Source organism: Homo sapiens, chromosome X, assembly GCF_000001405.40.
Source record: "Homo sapiens chromosome X, GRCh38.p14 Primary Assembly".
Lineage (NCBI taxonomy): Eukaryota > Metazoa > Chordata > Mammalia > Primates > Hominidae > Homo > Homo sapiens.
In genome coordinates this window covers 42,333,731-42,352,595 of record NC_000023.11, presented here as the reverse complement: position 1 = coordinate 42,352,595, position 18,865 = coordinate 42,333,731, and the positions used below count along the sequence as shown (strand labels likewise).

The 18,865-nt window shown below is 37.2% G+C and overlaps 4 annotated features.

Annotated features, from left to right (window-relative positions):
- Positions 8,857-9,357: an enhancer, noted in NCBI's record as "H3K4me1 hESC enhancer chrX:42202491-42202991 (GRCh37/hg19 assembly coordinates)". NCBI's record gives its function as "activates a minimal SCP1, AML or CMV promoter by ChIP-STARR-seq in naive H9 embryonic stem cells {active_cell/tissue: H9 hESC(naive)}" and the evidence as "EXISTENCE:reporter gene assay evidence [ECO:0000049][PMID:30033119]".
- Positions 8,857-9,858: a biological region, named in NCBI's record as "H3K4me1 hESC enhancers GRCh37_chrX:42201990-42202490 and GRCh37_chrX:42202491-42202991".
- Positions 9,245-9,539: an enhancer, noted in NCBI's record as "tiled region #2101; HepG2 Activating DNase matched - State 3:PromF". NCBI's record gives its function as "activates a minimal TATA promoter and a strong SV40 promoter by Sharpr-MPRA in HepG2 cells {active_cell/tissue: HepG2}" and the evidence as "EXISTENCE:reporter gene assay evidence [ECO:0000049][PMID:27701403]".
- Positions 9,358-9,858: an enhancer, noted in NCBI's record as "H3K4me1 hESC enhancer chrX:42201990-42202490 (GRCh37/hg19 assembly coordinates)". NCBI's record gives its function as "activates a minimal SCP1, AML or CMV promoter by ChIP-STARR-seq in naive H9 embryonic stem cells {active_cell/tissue: H9 hESC(naive)}" and the evidence as "EXISTENCE:reporter gene assay evidence [ECO:0000049][PMID:30033119]".

The following is an 18,865-nucleotide window of genomic DNA, read 5'->3' as shown; positions in this document are numbered from 1 at the left end:
ACAAGTGACTTGCAAATGTTTTTCTTGACAAAACCGAAATCTTCTTTTAGATCATTTTTATGATAGAAAATGTCCCTTGAAAATACAACTTTGCCCAGAACTTTGGGAGGCCAAGGCAGGCGGATCACCTCAGGTCAGGAGTTCAAGACCAACCTGGTCAACATGCTGAAACCCCGACTACTAAAAATATAAAAAAAAATTAGCCAGGCATGGTGGTGCATGCCCATAATCCCAGCTACTTGGCAGGCTGAGGCAGGAGAATCACTTGAACCCAGGAGGTGGAGGTTGCAGTGAGCCGAGATCACACCACTGCACTCCAGCCTGGGCGACAACAGTAAAACGCTGTCTCAAAAACAGACAAACAACAAAAAAAAAAAACAAATTTGCAGTGCTAAGTAGCAATGTGATGTATGAAGACACTTCATGCTAACTAGAAGTAATAAAATAGTCTTCTAATTTATATGTGAAATCTAAGTAAATCCTGAAGCCCCATGTGACTCAGTCCTGCCAATATTACAAATTTCCTTTCTCCACTGTCTTTTCCACTTGATAACTCCATCTATTTGTATGCTACATATTAGAAAAACTACAGAAAATTATTTTATGTGGTCACATGGACATAGAGAGTGGAATGATAGATAATGAAGACACAGAAGAGTGAGGGAGTGGGAGAGGGGAGGATGATGAAAAATTGGTTAATGGGCACAACAATGTATGTTATTAAGATGACAGATACCCTAAAAGCCCTGACCTGACCACTATGCAGTCTATGCATGTAACAAAATTGCATACCTACCCCATAAATGTGTAAAAATAAAAAGGAAAAGATATTTAAAATAAGCAAAACTCTAAAAAGAAAAGAATGAATAAGAAGAAACAAACTGTTTACATTCATTTTTCTTCAATAAAGTTCTAGAAGAAAAAAGAAACACAAATGCAAACATAAACTGTAAGGTAACTTATCTATAATTACCAAAATAATTTGTCTTTTCTGAGCCAATTGTTCAGTAAGAATTGGACAAGTATTGTATTACTAAGATAGTACACCTGACTACCTTTATATACATAATACTAAGTTATTCTTAGTTTTCTAGGTTTACTCAGTTCAATGAATAATCAGGGGTCCATGTTATAATCAAGGTAAGGTGGGTAAATAAGGTCAATTTTCCTCCAATATTATGATACCGTCCTCCTTCCTCTCAAACTTTAAAGTTTCTACAAATAACCTGAAAAGCCTGTGAATACAGATTCCTGATCCCAAATCCACACTTATGGAATCAGAAACTCTCTGGTGGTGAAGCTCAGGAATAAGCCTCTTTTGGCAAAAAGAAAACAGGTGGCCCTAATGCTTATAGAGGATTGTATTTTGAAAAACAAGCCTTATAAAAGATTTTTCACACCATTCCCCTGCACCTCCAATTTCCAATTTACCTTCTAGCTTTCATGCTATGAGTCTATTTTTTCCTGCAGTGTAAGATTTGAAGGACTAAGGCTTGGGTGTTAGCACAGGATGGTCAGAAAGAAGAGGTTTAGCTCTAGACAAAAGGGTCTTCCATGTCACTCAATTTGGCTCACCAGAAGTTATACTGGAATAATAGTAAAAAGAGTGTACGTTTGCTGGGCCTTGTCCTCTGGCCAAATGTTTCCTTTAGAAGTCTGTTCTGTGGGATGGTTGCAGAGGGGTGCTGAAGGGGGAAGAAATTGACTGTGGTAGTAGAGAATTTAATGAGTTCAGGTTGTAAGTTCTCACTATTTCTAGAACCCCATACATCCTACAATTGATTTACACTAACGCCCCTCCACTTTGCTTTTCTCCACTCATCCTCTTCTACTGCCTTTCAATCATAGTACACAGTCATCTAGAAAAGGTACCACTTTACTGTTTAGTAAAAAAAAAAACAAACAACAACAAAAAAAATCTTGGAGATACAAGAAAGAGTAGCACATACAGTTGTATTCAACTCCAGGCATTCTAATATATGCATAGGGTGCCTTATGGAGTTGTGTGGCATACAATCTACAAAGCCATCCTTAGTATACAAGATGATATATATTAGGGAACAAACAAGTACAGAGTCCCATTAAATTAAACAAGATTGATATAGCTTTACTTATTAATTATGATATTCACTCATTTTGTAACTAATTTCACAGGTAGCTCATCCAGTCCTATTTTTGCCTCTATTCTAACATTTAGATATTTATCAGCTCTTCCTCCCCATTGTCCTCTTATGTCCTCAGCCAAAACCTGAAAATTTCTTTTCTAGTTCTCTCCCTGTCTGGGATTCGGGTCTATTCCTTATATGTCAATTGGATAATTTGTAAGAAGTTTTTAATTCCATGAATTTCTGTAAAATGATTTTTCTCTTCTGATTGGCTATGAAGCTTTCACAATGGAAAATGTTTGGAAGAAACCAAATCCAACTATCACATGTAGCCAATTTTACCCATTTCTCCTCTTCTACTGCCTTGTGGTTTAAACACCTACAGTTAGCATGGCACGGTGGCTCACGCCTGTAATCCCAGCACTTTGGGAGGCCGAGGCAGGCAGACCACAAGATCAAGAGATCGAGACCATCCTGGCCACATGGTTAAACCCTGTCTCTATTAAAAATATAAAAATTAACTGGGCGTGGTGGCAGGCACCTGCAGTCCCAGCTACTCAGGAGGCTGAGGCAGGAGAATCACTTGAACCTGGGAGGCAGAGGTTGCAGTGAGCTGAGATCACACCATTGCACTCCAGCCTGGGTGACAGAGAGAGACGCCATCTCAAAAAAAAATAAATAAAATAAAAATAAATAAATAAATACATAAACACTTACAGTTGCACTAATAAGCCTGGCCCTTGATACAGTGGGAAAATATTCCCAATTAGCACAAAACATGACTCACAGGGTGAAATAAAAAAACATGGGCAATAAAGAATAAACTGAATGAGAACAGAATACAACCTAGGTCTCCATTTTCTCATCTGCAAATGAGAAAAAGTAGGTGCCAAACCTGACTGTTCCATCAGAATCCCATATGGGGATATTCCATAAAATATAGGTTATTAGTCTCCACTCCCAGAATATTTTGATTTATTTTGTCTAAGGATAGGACCTGAGAATCTGCATTTTTAAAAATACTCCCAACCAGATATATATTTTCATATTATAAATACAATGTACTTGTAAAAGCAAAGCAGATGAGTTCCAGTTTCAGTTAAAATGGAGTAAATAACTCCATCCTACCTCCTCGACTGATTACAACTAAGAATTCTGCACAAAATACATAAAGCAACTCTCAGAAGACTCTGAAAGGAAAATAAGACCAGGTAGTCTGAATACAGAATTCCGTACTCAAAGGACAAATCAGCAATAAATTGCCTGTTGGTTTGTTTCTCCCCCTGTCTTCTATATCCTGGCTTAAACTCTGTGGCAGGCAAAAATCAAAACTACTAACAGGCGCAGATAAAGTAAGATTCAAGAGAAGTTCACTCTCTCTAGCCAGAGAAGCAGGAGTGAGGGCCAGTGTGGAACAAACCCCTTTTCACTCTCAAGCATGAGCAACAAAACAGGAGTCCACTGCTCCAAACAAGACGGAGGTGGCCCCAAGCCATTTTGAGTGCCAGCAAAGAAAAGTCACGCCATCCTTCACTGGTATGACAGAGGTTACCACTGTGAAGTGGAGAAGCCCCTTTTTACTCTCCCTGTACTACACTGGGCAAAAATGTTGTCAGTAGAGGCAGCAGTAGCAGCCCCACAAGCTCTTTGCTCCCACTACTTTGTCCCAAATTAGGCCCAGTCACAAGAAGTACATAAAAATGTGGGAAAGCTGAAGCTCTCTGGGTTTCTAGCTAGACCACCAGGAAAAGGGCCTCTGGGAATTAGAGAGAACTACAGAGATGATGAAGCTGGAAAAGGGGATTTTTAAATCTCTAAAGTCCTGGGCTCAGTCCCAAGCTGCTCATGTGTGAAACCAGATGTAATGAACACAGCAAAGGCTTTATGAACTCAACTACACCATAGATCACTGCCCAGATCCCAAATTGGCACCAAGAATGTACGAAAGAGTACAAACCAGAAGATCACTGCAATGGCTTTTTTAACTAAACTGACATCGGAACTATAGCTTACAGAAGTTGGCTTAGGACTTGCAGTCTAGATGCAACAGGTTTGACTGCCAGCTAAAACAAAATAAAAAAAATTCTCTATAATATTTTACAGGACTCAGAGTCTCATAACATAGTATTGAATATGCCCAAATGCAATCAAAGATTATTCAATGTATAAAGAATCATAAAAACCTAAGAAATTGTCAAAGGAAAAGGCAATCAAGTGATGCTAACCTCGAGGTGACTAAATGCTGCAATTATCAGGCAAGATTTTAGAGCAGTTATTATGATTGTGCTACATGAAGTAAGTGTCGACAATTTTGGAATAAATGTAAAGATATCGGTTCTCTTCTGAGAAATAGAAGGTCTAAAAATGAACTAAATGAAAATCATAAAACTAAAAGATACAACAATGAAAATAAACTGTAATATACATAAAAACTGGAAGGGATCAATAGAAGAATGGGGATGACAGATGAATGAATTAGTGAATTTGGTCAATAGAAACTATGCAATCTGAAATATAGAGATTCAACAGTTTAAAAAAATAAAACAGAGCTTAAGAGCCTGTGGAACAATAGCAAAAGATACAACATTCATCTCATCAAAGTTCCAGCAAGACAGGAGAAAAATGTATGTGCAGAAAAATATTTGACTAAACACTTCCCAAATTCCAGGAAAAACAAAATCTACAAATCTAAGAAGCTTGGTGAATCCCCAAAAGGATAAACTCAAAGAAATCATGCCTGTACATATTATTTTAAAACTACTGAAAATCAAAAATAGAGTCTTGAAAGCAGGCAAAGAAAAACAATATATTACATTTAGAGGACAAAGATCCAAATGTGTGCTGATTTTTCATCAGGAATGATGGAGACCAGAAGACAGTGAAACAACAGTTTTAAAGTGCTGAAAGAAAAGACCTGCCTGTCAACCCAGAATTCTATAACCAATGAGATTATCATTCAGGAATGAAGGAAAAATGAAGATGTTCTCTGATGAAGGAAAAATAAGATAATTCATTGCTAATAAATCAATTTTAAAGAAATATAAAGAAATTCAAGTGGAAAGGAAATAATAACTAAAGGAAATCTAGAACATCAATAATGATCAAAGAGCAACAAAAATAGTAAATGTCTCCCTAAATAAAATAGACTTTTTTTGTCCCATAATTTTGTGTAACAATATATTTTTGTTGAAAGCAAAAAGCATAATGCTGTATGATGGGATTTTCAATAAGTAAATGGAATACATATGAAAATTTTGTAAAAGGAAGAAGAGTAAAATGATTATATATGTATACTTATTCCTTATTTTTATGTGAAATGGTAAGATATTGATGCTAACTAGATTGTATAAAGTTTGATGTGTATATCGCATTTCCTACAACAGTCACTGAAAACAACAATTCAAAGGGATATAGTCAAAAATGCAATAGAGAAATTAAAATAGGATTCTCAAAAGTAAGTAACTCAAAAAAACACAAAAAAAGAAAACCAAGGTAATAAAATACAGAGAACAGAAATTAATGATAAAATGCTGCACCAAAATGCAACCATATCAGTAATTACATTAAATGAAAATAGTTTAAACAAAACAATTAAAAGGGAGTGATAATTAGATTGGATTTTTAAACACACACACACACACGTACACAGTAACCAACTGTATGCTGTCTACAGGAATTTTACTCAAGACATAATGATATACATGGGTTAAAAATGAAATTATGAGAAAAAGATATAACATGCAAACACTAACGAGAAGAAAAAAGCTGGTGTGTGTATTTAATATCAGACAAAGTAAACTTCAGGAAAAGGAAAATAACCACAGACAAAAAGGGACACCACATGATGATAAAAAGGTCAGTTCCTCAAGAAGACATGACAATTTTAAATGTGTATGCAATTGACAACAGAGCTTCAAAATAAGTAAAGCATAGATGGACAGAATTAAAAGGAGAAATAAACAAATCCATAATTATTTTTATGCATTTCAAGTTGTCTCTTGAAGTAACTGATAAAACAAATAGAAAAGCAGCAAGGCTATAGAAACCTGAGCAACATCATCAACAAAGTAGTTGGTTGATGAACTAGTAGTTCTAGTTGATCTTTATATAACATTCTACCCAACAACTACAGAATACACATTTTTTTCAAGAGCACATGGAAATATTCACCAAAACAGACCATATCCTGGGCCATAGAACAAATTTGTTAAACTTAGAAGAATTGAATTATCTAAAATATATTCTCTGACTATAATATAATTAAACTAAAAATTGATAACCAAGGATTTTTGGAAAATCTCCAGATTTGGAAATTAAACTACACACTACCATTTAATCCATGGCGCAAAGAGGCACTCTGAAGAGAAATTAGAAAGTATTTTGAACTGAATAAAAATAGAAATAAATATCAAAATATGTGAAATGTGCCCCAAAAGGCACTTAGAAAAAAATTAATAGCATTACATGCTTATACTAGAAAAGAAGTAAGCTTAATCAATAACTTAAGCTTCCATCTTAAGAAACCAGAAAAAGAAGACACTAAAACTAAAGCAAAGACAAAAGGAAATAATAAAGAAAAATAAATTAATAACATTGAGAACAACAAAACAACAGAGAAAATCAATTAAACTAAAAGCTGATTCTATGAAAAAAATGCAATAAAATTAATAAACCTCTAGCTTGATGATCAAGTAAAAGAGAGAAGGCACTTACAATGGATAACAAGAATGAAAGAGGAGATATGACTATAGACTGAGACATTAAAGGGCAACGAAGGAATATTAAAAACAATTCTATGCACACAAATATGACAAGTTAGATAAAATGGACCAATTGCTTGAAAGATATAACCTACCAAAATGTACACAAGATAAAATAAATAACCTCAATAATCTTATATCTACTAAAGAAATTAATTTCATAATCAAAATTATTCTGAAAAATAAAACTCCTGGCCCAGGTGATTTCACTGTAGAATTCTATTAAGCATCTAAGAAGAGGAGGGGACATGTCACAACTGACTTGAGCCACCATTACTCTGATACCACAACCAGCAATGACCATACAAGAAAAGACAATTATAGACCAATATCCCTCATGAACATAGGTGCAAAAATCTTCAAAAAAAAAAAAAAAAAACACTTAGCAATTTAACCCAGCAATATATTACAAGAACAATACATCATCACCAAGTGGGGTTTCTCTCCAGGAATGCAAGAATGGATAAACATTGGAAAATCAATCAATGTAATTCATTGTATTAACAGTCTAAAGGAGAAAAAAATGCATGGTTATATCAAAAGATGCAGAAAATCACTTGACAATTTCAACATTCATTCAAGATAAAAACTCTCAGCAAACAAGAAATAGAAGAAAACTTTCTCAATATGATAAAAGGCATCTACAAAAACCTTACAGCTGACATCATACTTAATGGTGAAAACCTGCATGCTTTCTCCCTATGATTGGGATCAAGGCAAGGAGGACCACTCTCACCACTCCTATTCAGTATCGTATTGGAAGTACTAGCAAGTACAATGAATCAAGAAAAGAAATGAATGGTATATAGATTAGGAAGGGATAAATAAAGCTATTAATATACCCAGATGACTTATGTAGAAAATCCCAAGTAATCTAAGAAAAGCACATAGAACTAATAAGTGACTTTGGCAAGGGCACAGATACAAATTCTATACATCCACAATAAACAATAGGAATCCAAAATTTAAGAATAATACTATTCATAGTAGCCCCCCAATGAAATATTTATGTACAATTCTAACAAAATACATTCAGGATCTGCATGTGGAACTAAATAAAAATAAAAATACAACTTATCAAAATTTGTAGGATACAGCAAAAACAGTGTGTAGAGGAAAAAGTTACTATATATATGTATATATAAGTATATATAGTATGTGTGTATGTATATAGAATAAAGATGTAAAGTAAGTAACCTAAGAATCCACCTCAGCAAACTAAAGAATAAACAGCTTGTTCACTCTGATTATAGTTTCTTTTGCTGTGCAGAAGCTCTTTAGTTTAATTAGATTCCATTTGTCAACTTTTGTTTTGTTGCAATTGCTTTTGGCATTTTTGTCATGAAGTTTTTGCCCATGCTTATGTCCTGAATGGTATTGCCTAGGTATTCTTCTAGGGTTTTTATGGTTTGGGGTTTTAAATTTAAGTCTTTAATCCATCTTGAGTTAATTTTATTATAAGGTGTAAGGAAGGGGTCTAATTTCAATTTTCTGCATATGGCTAGCCAGTTTTCCCAGCATAATCTATTGAATAGGAGATACTTTCTCCATTGCTTGTTTTTTTCAGGTTTGTTGAAGATCAGATTGCTGTAGATGTATGGTGTTATTTCTGAGGTCTCTGTTCTGTTCCATTGGTCTATATGTCTGTTTTGGTACCAGTATCATGCTGTTTCAGTTACTGTAGTCTTGTAGTATAGCTTGAAGTTAGGTAGCATGATGCCTCCAGCTTTGCTCTTTTTGCTTAGGATTGTCTTGGCTATACAGTTTTGCAATCTACCCACCTGACAAATGCCTAATATCCAGAATTTACAAGGAACTTAAATTTAGAAGAAAAAAACAAACAACACAATCAAAAAGTTTGCAAAAGATATGAACAGAGAAACATATCTTGACGGGGGTGGCTGGCAAGATGGTTGAATAGGAACAGTTCCAGTCTGCAGCTCCCACTGAGATCAATGCAGAAGGCAGGTGATTTGTGCATTTCCAACTGAGGTATGTGGCTCATCTCACTGGGACTGGTTAGACAGTGGGTGCAGCGCATGGAGGGTGAGCTGAAGCAGGGTGGGGCATCACCTCACCTGGGAATTTCAAGGGGTCAGGAAACTCCCTCCCCTAGCTAAGGGAAGCTGTGAAGGACTGTGCCATTGGGAACGATGCATTCCAGCACAGATACTACACTTTTCCCATGGTCTTTGCAACCTGCAGACCAGGAGATTCCCTCTGGTGCCTACATAATCAGGGCCCTGGGTTTCAAGTACAAAACTAGGTGGCCATTTGGGCAGACACCGAGCTAGCTGCAGGAGTTTTTTTTCATACCCCAGTGGTGCCTGGAATGCCAGCCAGACAGAACCGTTCACTCCCCTGGAAAGGGGGCTGAAACCAGGGAGCCAAGTGGTCTAGCTCAGCAGATCCCACCCCCATGGAGCCCAGCAAGCTAAGATCCCCTGCATTGAAATTCTCGCTGCCAGCACAGCAGTCTGAAGTCAACCTGGGACACTCGAGCATGGTGGGGGGAGGGGCATTTGCCATTACTGAGGTTTGAGTAGGCAGTTTTCCCCTCACAGTGTAAACAAAACCACCTGGAGTTTGAACTGGGTGGAGCCCACTGCAGCTCAGCAAAGCCACTGTAGCCAGGCTGCCTCTCTGGATTCCTCCTCTCTGGGCAGGGCATCTCTGAAAGAAAGGCAGCAGCCACAGTCAGGGGCTTATAGATAAAACCCCCATCTCCCTGGGATAGAGCACCTGGGGGAAGGGGCAGCTGTGGGGGCAGCTTCAGCAGACTTAAAAGTTCCTGCCTGCTGGCTCTGAAGAGAGCAGCAGATCTCCAAGCACAGCACTGAAGCTCTCCTAAGGGACAGACTGCCTCCTCAAGTGGGTCCCTGACCCCCGTGTATCCTGACTGGGAGATACCTCCCAGCAGGGTTTGACAGACACCTCATACAGGAGAGCTCTGGCTGGCATCTGGAGAGTACCCCTCTGGGCTGAAGCTTCCAGAAGAAGGAACAGGCAGCAATCTTCGCTGTTCTGCAGCCTCCGCTGGTGATACCCAGGCAAACAGGGTCTGGAGTGGACCTGCAGCAAACTTCAGCAGACCTGCAGCAGAGGGGCCTGCCTGTTAGAAGGAACACTAACAAACAGAAAGAAATAGCATCAACATCAACAAAAAGGATGTCCACACAGAAAACCCAACTGAAGGTCACCAACATCAAAGACCAAAGGTAGATAAATCCATGAAGATGAGGAAAAATCAGCACAAAAAAGCCGAAAATTCCAAAAACCAGAAAGCCTCTTCTCCTCCAAAGGATCACAACTCCTCACCAGCAAGAGAACAAAACTGGACAGAGAATGAGTTTGACAAATTGACAGAAGTAGGCTTCAGAAGGTGGGTAATAACAAACTCCTCCGAGCTAAAGGAGCATGTTCTAGCTCAATGCAAGGAAGCTAAGAACCTTGAAAAATGGTTAGAGGAGTTGCTAACTAGAATAACCAGTTTAGAGAAAAGCATAAATGACCTAATGGAGCTGAAAAACACAGTATGAGAACTTCGGGAAGCATACACAAGTAACAATCGTCGAATCAATTAAGCAGAAAAAAGGATATCAGAGATTAAAGATCAACTTAATGAAATAAAGCATGAAGACAAGAATAGAGAAAAAAGAATGAAAAGGAAAGAACAAAGCCTCCAAGAAATATGGGACTATGTGAAAAGACCAAACCTACATTTGATTGGTGTACCTGAAAGTGATGGGGAGAATGGAATCAAGTTGGAAAACACTCTTCAAGATATTATCCAGGAGAACTTCCCCAACCTAGCAAGACAGGCCAACGTTAAAATTCAGAAAATGCAGAGAACACCACAAAGATACTCCTTAAGAAGAGCAACCTCAAGACACATAATTGTCAGATTCACCAAAGTTGAAATGAAGGAAAAAATGTTAAGGGCAGCCAGAGAGAAAGGCGGGTTACCCACAAAGGGAAGCCCATCAGACTAACAGCAGATCTCTGCAGAAACCCTACAAACCAGAAGAGAGCGGGGGCCAATATTCAACATACTTGAAGAAAAGAATTTTCAACCCAGAATTTCATATCCAGCCAAACTAAGTTTCATAAGCAAAGGTGAAAAAAAATCCTTTACAGACAAGCAAATGCTGAGAGATTTTCTCACCTGGCTTGCCTTACAAGAGCTCCTGAAGGAAGCACTAAATATGGTAAGGAAAAATCAGTACCAGCCATTGCAAAACCAAACCAAAATGCAAAGACCAGCGACACTATGAAGAAATTGCATCAACTAATGGGCAAACTAACCAACTAGCAACATAATGACAGGATCAATTTCACATATAACAATATTAACCTTAAATATAAATGGGACAAAAGCCCCAATTAAAAGACACAGACTGGCAAATTAGATAAAGAGTCAAGACCCATCAGTGTGCTGTATTCAGGAGACCCGTCTCACGTGCAAAGACACACGTAGGCTCAAATTAAAGGGACGGAGGAATATTTACCAAGAAAATGGAAAGCAAAAAAAAAAAAAAAAAGCAGGGGTTGCAATCCTAGTCTCTGATAAAACAGACTTTAAACCAACAAAGATCAAAAAAGACAAAGAAGGCAGTTACATAATGGTAAAGGGATCAATGCAACAAGAAGAGCTAACTATCCTAAATATATACGCACCCAATACAGGAGCACCCAGATTCATAAAGCAAGTTCTTAGAGACCTACAGAGAGACTTAGACTCCCACACAATAATAGTGGGAGACTTTAATACCCCACTGTCAATATTAGACAGATCAACGAGACAGAAAATTAAAAAAGGATATGCAGGACTTGAACTCAGCTCTGGACCAAGGGGACCTAATAGACATCTACAGAACTCTCCACCTCAAATAAACAGAATATACATCCTTCTCAGCACCACATCACACTTATTCTAAAATCACCCACAAAATTGGAAGTAAAACACTCCTCAGCAAATGCAAAAGAACAGAAATCATAAAAAACACTCTCTCAGACCACGGTGCAATCAAATTAGAACTCAGGATTTAGAAACTCACTCAAAACCACACAACTACGTGGAAACTGAACAACCTGCTCCTAAGTGACTACTGGGTAAATAACAAAATTAAGGCAGAAATAAACAATTTATTCAAAACCAATGAGAACAAAGACACAATGTACCAGAATCTCTGGGACACAGCTAAAGCACTGTTTAGAGGGAAATTTACAGCACTAAATGCCCACAGGAGAAAGAAGGAAATATTTAAAATCAACATTCTAATATCACAATTAAAAGAACTAGAGAAGCAAGAGCAAACAAATTCAGAAGCTAGCAGAAGACAAGAAATAACTAAGATCAGAGCAGAACTGAAGGAGATAGAGACACGAAAAACCCTTCAAAAAATCAGTGAATCCAGGAGTTGGCTTTTTTGAAAAGATCAACAAAATAGATAGACCACTAGCTAGACTAATAAAGAAGAAAAGAGAGAAGAAGGAAATAGACACAATAAAAAAATGATAAAGGGGAGATAACTACTGATCCCAAAGTAATGCGTACTACCATCAGAGAATACTGTAAACACCTCTATGCAAATAAACTAGAAAATCTGGAAGAAATGGATAAATTCCTGGACACATACACCCTCCCAAGAATAAACCAGGAAGAACTCGAATCCCTGAATAGAACAATAACAAGTTCTGAAATTGAGGCAGTAATTAATAGGCTACCAACCAAAAAAAGCTTAGGACCAGAGGGATTCACAGCTGAATTCTACCAGAGGTACAAAGAGGAGCTGGTACCGTTTTTTCTAAAACTGTTCCAAGCAATAGAAAAAGAGAAACTCCTCCTTAACTCACTTTATGAGGCCAGTATCATCCTGATACCAAAACCTGGTGGAGACATAACAAAAAATTGAAAATTTTAGGCCAATATCCCTGATGAACATTGGTGTAAAAATCCTTAATAAAATACTAGCAAATCTAATCCAGTAGCACATCAAATAGTTTATCCATGACGATCATCCCTGGGATGCAAGGCTGGTTCAACATATGCAAATAAATAAACGTAATCCATCACATAAACAGAACCAATGACAAAAACCCCATGATTATCACAATAGATGCAGAAAAGGCCTTTGACAAATTCAATACCCCTTCATGCTAAAAACTCTCAATAAACTAGGTATTGATGGAATGCATCTCAAAATAATAAGAGCCATTTATGACAAACCCACAGCCAATATCATACTGAATGGGCAAAAGCTGGAAGCATTCCCTTAGAAACCTGGCACAAGACAAAGATGCCCTCTCTCACCACTCCTATTCAACGTAGTATCAGAAGTTCTGCCCAGGGCAATCAGTCAAGAGAAAGAAAGACTAATAAAGAAAAAAAGAGAGAAGAATCAAATAGACATAATAAAAAATGATAAAGGGGATATCACCACTGATCCCTTAAAAATACAAATTACCATCAGAGAATACAATAAACACCTTTATGCAAATAAACTAGAAAATCTAAAAGAAATTGATTAATTCCTGGACACATACACGCTCACAAGACTAAACCAGGAAGAAATCGAATCCCTGAATAGGCCAATAACAAGTTCTGAAATTGAGGCAGTAGTTAACAGCCTACCAACCAAAAACAGCCCAGCACCAGATGGATTCACAGCTGAATTCTACCACAGGTAGAAAGAGGAGATGGTACCATTCCTTCTGAAACTATTCCAAACGACAGAAAAAGAAGGACTCCTCCCTAACTCATTTAATGAGGCCAGCATCATCCTGATAGCAAAACCTGGCATAGACACAAGAAAAGAAAATTACAGGCCAATATTCCTGATGAACATTGATGTGAAAACCCTCAATAAAACACTGGCAAACTGAATCCAGCAGCACATCAAAAAGCTTACACACCATGATCAAGTTGGCTTCATCCCTGGGATGCAAGGCTGGTGCAACATATGGAAATCAATAAACGTACTCCATCACATAAACAGAACCAATCACAAAAACCACATGATTATCCCAATAGATGCAGAAAAGTCCTTTGATAAAATTCAACACAACTTTATGCTAAAAACTCTCAATAACTAGTTATTGATAGAACGTTATCTCAAAATAATAAGAGCTATTTATGACAAACCCATAGCCAATATCATACTGAATGGGCAAAAGCTGGAAGCATTCCCTTTAAAAACCGGTACAAGACAAGGATGTCCTCTCTCACCACTCCTATTCAATATAGAATTGAAAGTTCTGGCCAGGGCAATCAGTCAAGAGAAAGAAATAAAGGGTATTCAAATAGGAAGAGTGGAAGTAAAATTGTCTCTGTTTGCAGATGACTTGATTGCATATTTAGAAAACCCCATCATCTCAGCCCAAAATCTCCTTAAGCTGATAAGCAACTTCAGCAAAGTCTCGGGATATGAAATCCATGTGCAAAAATCACAAGCATTCCTATACACCAATAATAGACAAACAGAGCCAAATCGTGAGTAAACTCCCATTCATAATTGCTACAAAGATAATAAAATACCTAGAAATCCAACTTACAAGGGGTGTGAAGGACCTCTTCAAGGAGAACTACAAACCACTGCTCAAGGAAATAAGCGAGGAAACAAACAAATGGAAAAACATTCCATGCTCATGGATAAGAAGAATCAATATCGCAAAAGTGGCTATACTGCCCAAAGTAATTTATAGATTCAACACTATCCCCACCAAGCTACCATTTACTTTCTTTGCATAATTAGAAAAAACTACTTTAAATTTCACATGGAACCAAAAAAGAGCCCACATAGCCAAGACGATCCTAAGCAAAAAGAACAAAGCTAAAGGCATCATGCTACCTGACTTCAAACTATACTATATGGCTACAGTAACCAAAACAGCATGGTACTGGTACCAAAACAGATATATAGACCAATGGAAAGAACAGAGGCCTCAGAAATAACACCACACATCTACAACCATCTGATCTTTGACAAACCTGACAAAAACAAGCAATGGGGAAAGGGTTCCCTATTTAGTAAATAGTGTTGGGAAAACTGGCTAGCCATATGCAGAAAACTGAAACTAGACCCGTTCCTTACACCTGATACAAAAATTAACTCAAGATGGATTAAAGACTTAAATGTAAGACCTAAAACCATAAAAACCATAGAAGAAAACCTAGGCAATACCATTTAGGACACAGACATGGGCAAAAAACTTCATGACTAAAACACCAAAAGCAATGGCAACAAAAGCCAAAATTGACAAATGGGATCTAATTAAACTAAAGAGCTTCTGCACAGCAAAAGAAACTATCATCACAGTGAACAGGCAACCTACATAATGGGAGAAAAGCTTTGCAATCTATCCATCTGACAAAGGGCTGATATCCAGAATTACAAGGAACTTAAACAAATTTACAAGAAAAAAAACAAACAGCCCCATCAAAAATGGATGAAGGATATGAACAGACACTTCTCAAAAGAAGATATTTATGTGGCCAGCAAAGATATGAAAAAAAGCTCATCATCACTGGTCATTAGAGAAATGCAAATCAAAGCCACAATGAGACACCATCTCATGCCAATTAGAATGGTGATCATTAAAAAGTCAGGAAACAACCGATGGTGGAGAGGATGTGGAGAAATAGGAGCACTTTTACACTGTTGGTGGAAGTGTAAATTAGTTCAACCATTGTGGAAGACAGTGTGGCGATTCCTCAAGGATCTAGAACTAGAAATATCACTTGACCCAGCAATCCCATTACTGGGTATATACCCAAAGGATTGTAAATCATTCTACTATAAAGACACATGTACACGTATCTTTATTGCAGCACTATTCACAATAGCAAAGACTTGGAACCAACCCAAATGCCCAACAGTGATAGACTGGATAAAGAAAATGTGGCACATATACACCATGGAATACTATGCAGCCATAAAAAAGGATGAATTCATGTCCTTTGCAGGGACATGGATGAAGCTGGAAACCATCATTCTCAGCAAACTAACACAGGAACGGAAAACCAAACACCACATATTCTCACTCATAAGTGGGAGTTGAACAATGAGAACACGTGGACACAGTGAGGGGAACATCACAAACCGGAGCCTGTCAGGGGGTGGGGGGCTAGAGGGATAGCATTAGGAGAAATACCTAATGTAGATGATGGGTTGATGGGTGCAGCAAATCAGCAAGGCACATGTATACCTATGTTACAAACCTGCACGTTCTGCACATGTATCCCAGAATTTAAAGTATAATAATAATAAAAAAGATATGAACAGACACTTCTTGAAAGAATATATTTGCGTGGCAAAAAAAAACCCATATTTTAAAAAGCTCAACATCACTGATCACTAGAGAAATGCAAATCAAAACCACAATGAGACATCATTTCACACCAGTCAGAATGGCGATTATTAAAAAGTAAAGAAACGACAGCTGCTGGTGAAGCTGTGGAGAAATAGGAACACTTTTACACTGTTGGTGGGAATGTAAATTAGATCAACCATTGTGGAAGACAGCATGGCAATTCCTCAAGGATCTAGAACCAGAAATACCATTTGACCCAGCAATCCTATTACTGGGTATATACCCAAAGGACTATAAATCATTCTACTATAAAGACACATGCGCACATATGTTTATTACAACACTATTTTCAATAGCAAAGTCATGGAACCAACTCAAATGCCCATCAAGGATAGACTGGATAAAGAAAATGTGGTGGCCAGGCACGGTGGCTCATGCCTGTAATCCCAGCACATTGGGAGGCCAAGGTGGGCGGATCACGAGGTCAGGAGATTGAGACCATCCTGGCTAACACGGTGAAACCCCGTCTCTACTCAAAATACAAAAAAAATTAGCCAGGCGTAGTGGCGGGTGCCTGTAGTCCCAGCTACTCGGGAGGCTGAGGCAGGTGAATGGCGTGAACCCGGGAGGCGGAGCTTGCAATGCTGCGAGATCGCGCCACTGCACTCCAGCCTGGGCGACAGAGTGAGACTCCGTCTCAAAAAAAAAAAAAAAAAAAAAAAAAAAGAAAAAGAAAAGAAAATGTGGTACATATACACCATGGAATACTACACAGTCATAAAAAGGAATTAGATCGTGTCCTTTGCAGGGACATGGATGAAGCTAGAAGCCATCATCCTCAGCAAATTAACACAGAAACAGAAAACCAAAAACACTGCACATTCTCACTCATAAGTGGGAGTTGAACAATGAGAACACGTGGACACAGCGAGGGGAACAACACACACCAGGACCTGTTGTGGGGTGAAGGGAGAGGGGAGGGAGAGTGAGGGAACTTAGAGGACAGATCAATAGGTGCGGCAAACCACCATGACACACATATACCTAGGTAACAAACCTGCACGTTCTGCATATGTATCCTGGAACCTAAAGTAAAATAAATTTACAAAATAAAAAATAAAAAAAATGAACAACCACGTAGGACTAAAGCAAATAGAAAAAAATAATAATAAAAATTAGAACAGAAATCGATGAAATTAAAAACAGGAAATTAATAGAGAAAATCAACAAAACCAAAAGCTGGTTCTTTAAGAAGGTCAATGAAATTGATAAGCCTCTAGCCAGTTTAACCAAGGTTAGGGGGAAAGAGCAAAGACATAGATTACAAATATCAGAAAGGAAAGCTGAGCCATTATTACTGATTTCACATGGAACTTAAAAGCACAATAAAGGAGTACTATGACAACTCTTTGCCCACATACTTGATAACTTAGATGAAATGGACCAACTCCTTGAAAGATAAACTATCAAAACTCACACAAGAAGAAATATATATTATTCAACAACAATCCTATTAAAGAAATGGGATCAACAATTAAGAATCTTCTAAAAGAAAACACCAGGCTCAGATAGTTCCACTGGTAAAATCTACCAAATATTTAGGGAAGAAATGATACCAGTTCTCTACAATCTCTTCTAGAAAACTAGAAGCAGAGAGAATACTTCCTAATACATTCTATAAGTCCAGCATTACGCTAATACCAAAATCAAATAAAGACATCACAAGAAAAAAGAGCTACAGACCAGTATCTCTCATGAACATAGACACAAAACTCCACAAGAAAATATTAGCAAACTGAATCCAACAATGTATTTAAAAATTTATATACCACAACCAAGTGAGATTTTTTCCAGTTATGCAAGGCTGGTTCAACATTTGAAAATTAATCAACATCGATCACATCAGCAGGCTAAAGAAGGAAATCACATAATCATATCAATAGATGCAGAAAAAGCATTTGACAAATCTAACACGTGTGATTAAAACTCTTGGAAAACTGAAAACAGGGAAAATTTCTCAACTTGATAAAGAACATCTACAACAAATCCATAGCTTCCATTATGCTTAAGACTGGACTTAAGTATGGGTGCCTTCTTCCAAGGTTGGGAACAAGGCAAAAACATCCTCTCTCATCACTCCTATTCTACATGTACTGGGAGTCCTAGGTAGCACAATAAGACAAGAATAAGAAATAAATGTGTATAGATTAAAAGGAAGAAACAAAAATATTTTTGCATGTGACATGATTATCTATGTATAAAATCCCAAAGCCTATACAAAAAGAAAAAAAAACTCCTGGAAGTAATAAGCAAGTATAGCAAGGTCGCAGGATAAAAAGTTGACATTAAAAATTTTCCATATATCAATAATGAACAGTTGGAATTTAAAATTTAAAGAAAAACACCATTTACAATAGCATTGAAATATATGAAATACTTAAGTATAAATATATTTAAATGGTATAGAATCTGTATGTGAAAACTACAAATTACTAATGAAAGAATTCAAAGATGTAAATAAATGGAAAGATATATCATGATCATGCTATTCGCAGACTCAATATAGTTAAAATGTCAAATCACCGCAACTCGATGTATATATTTTAAGCAATCCCAATGAAAATTCCAAAATTTTTTGTACATATTGACAAGCTGATTCTAAACATTTTATGGAAAGTGAAATAACCA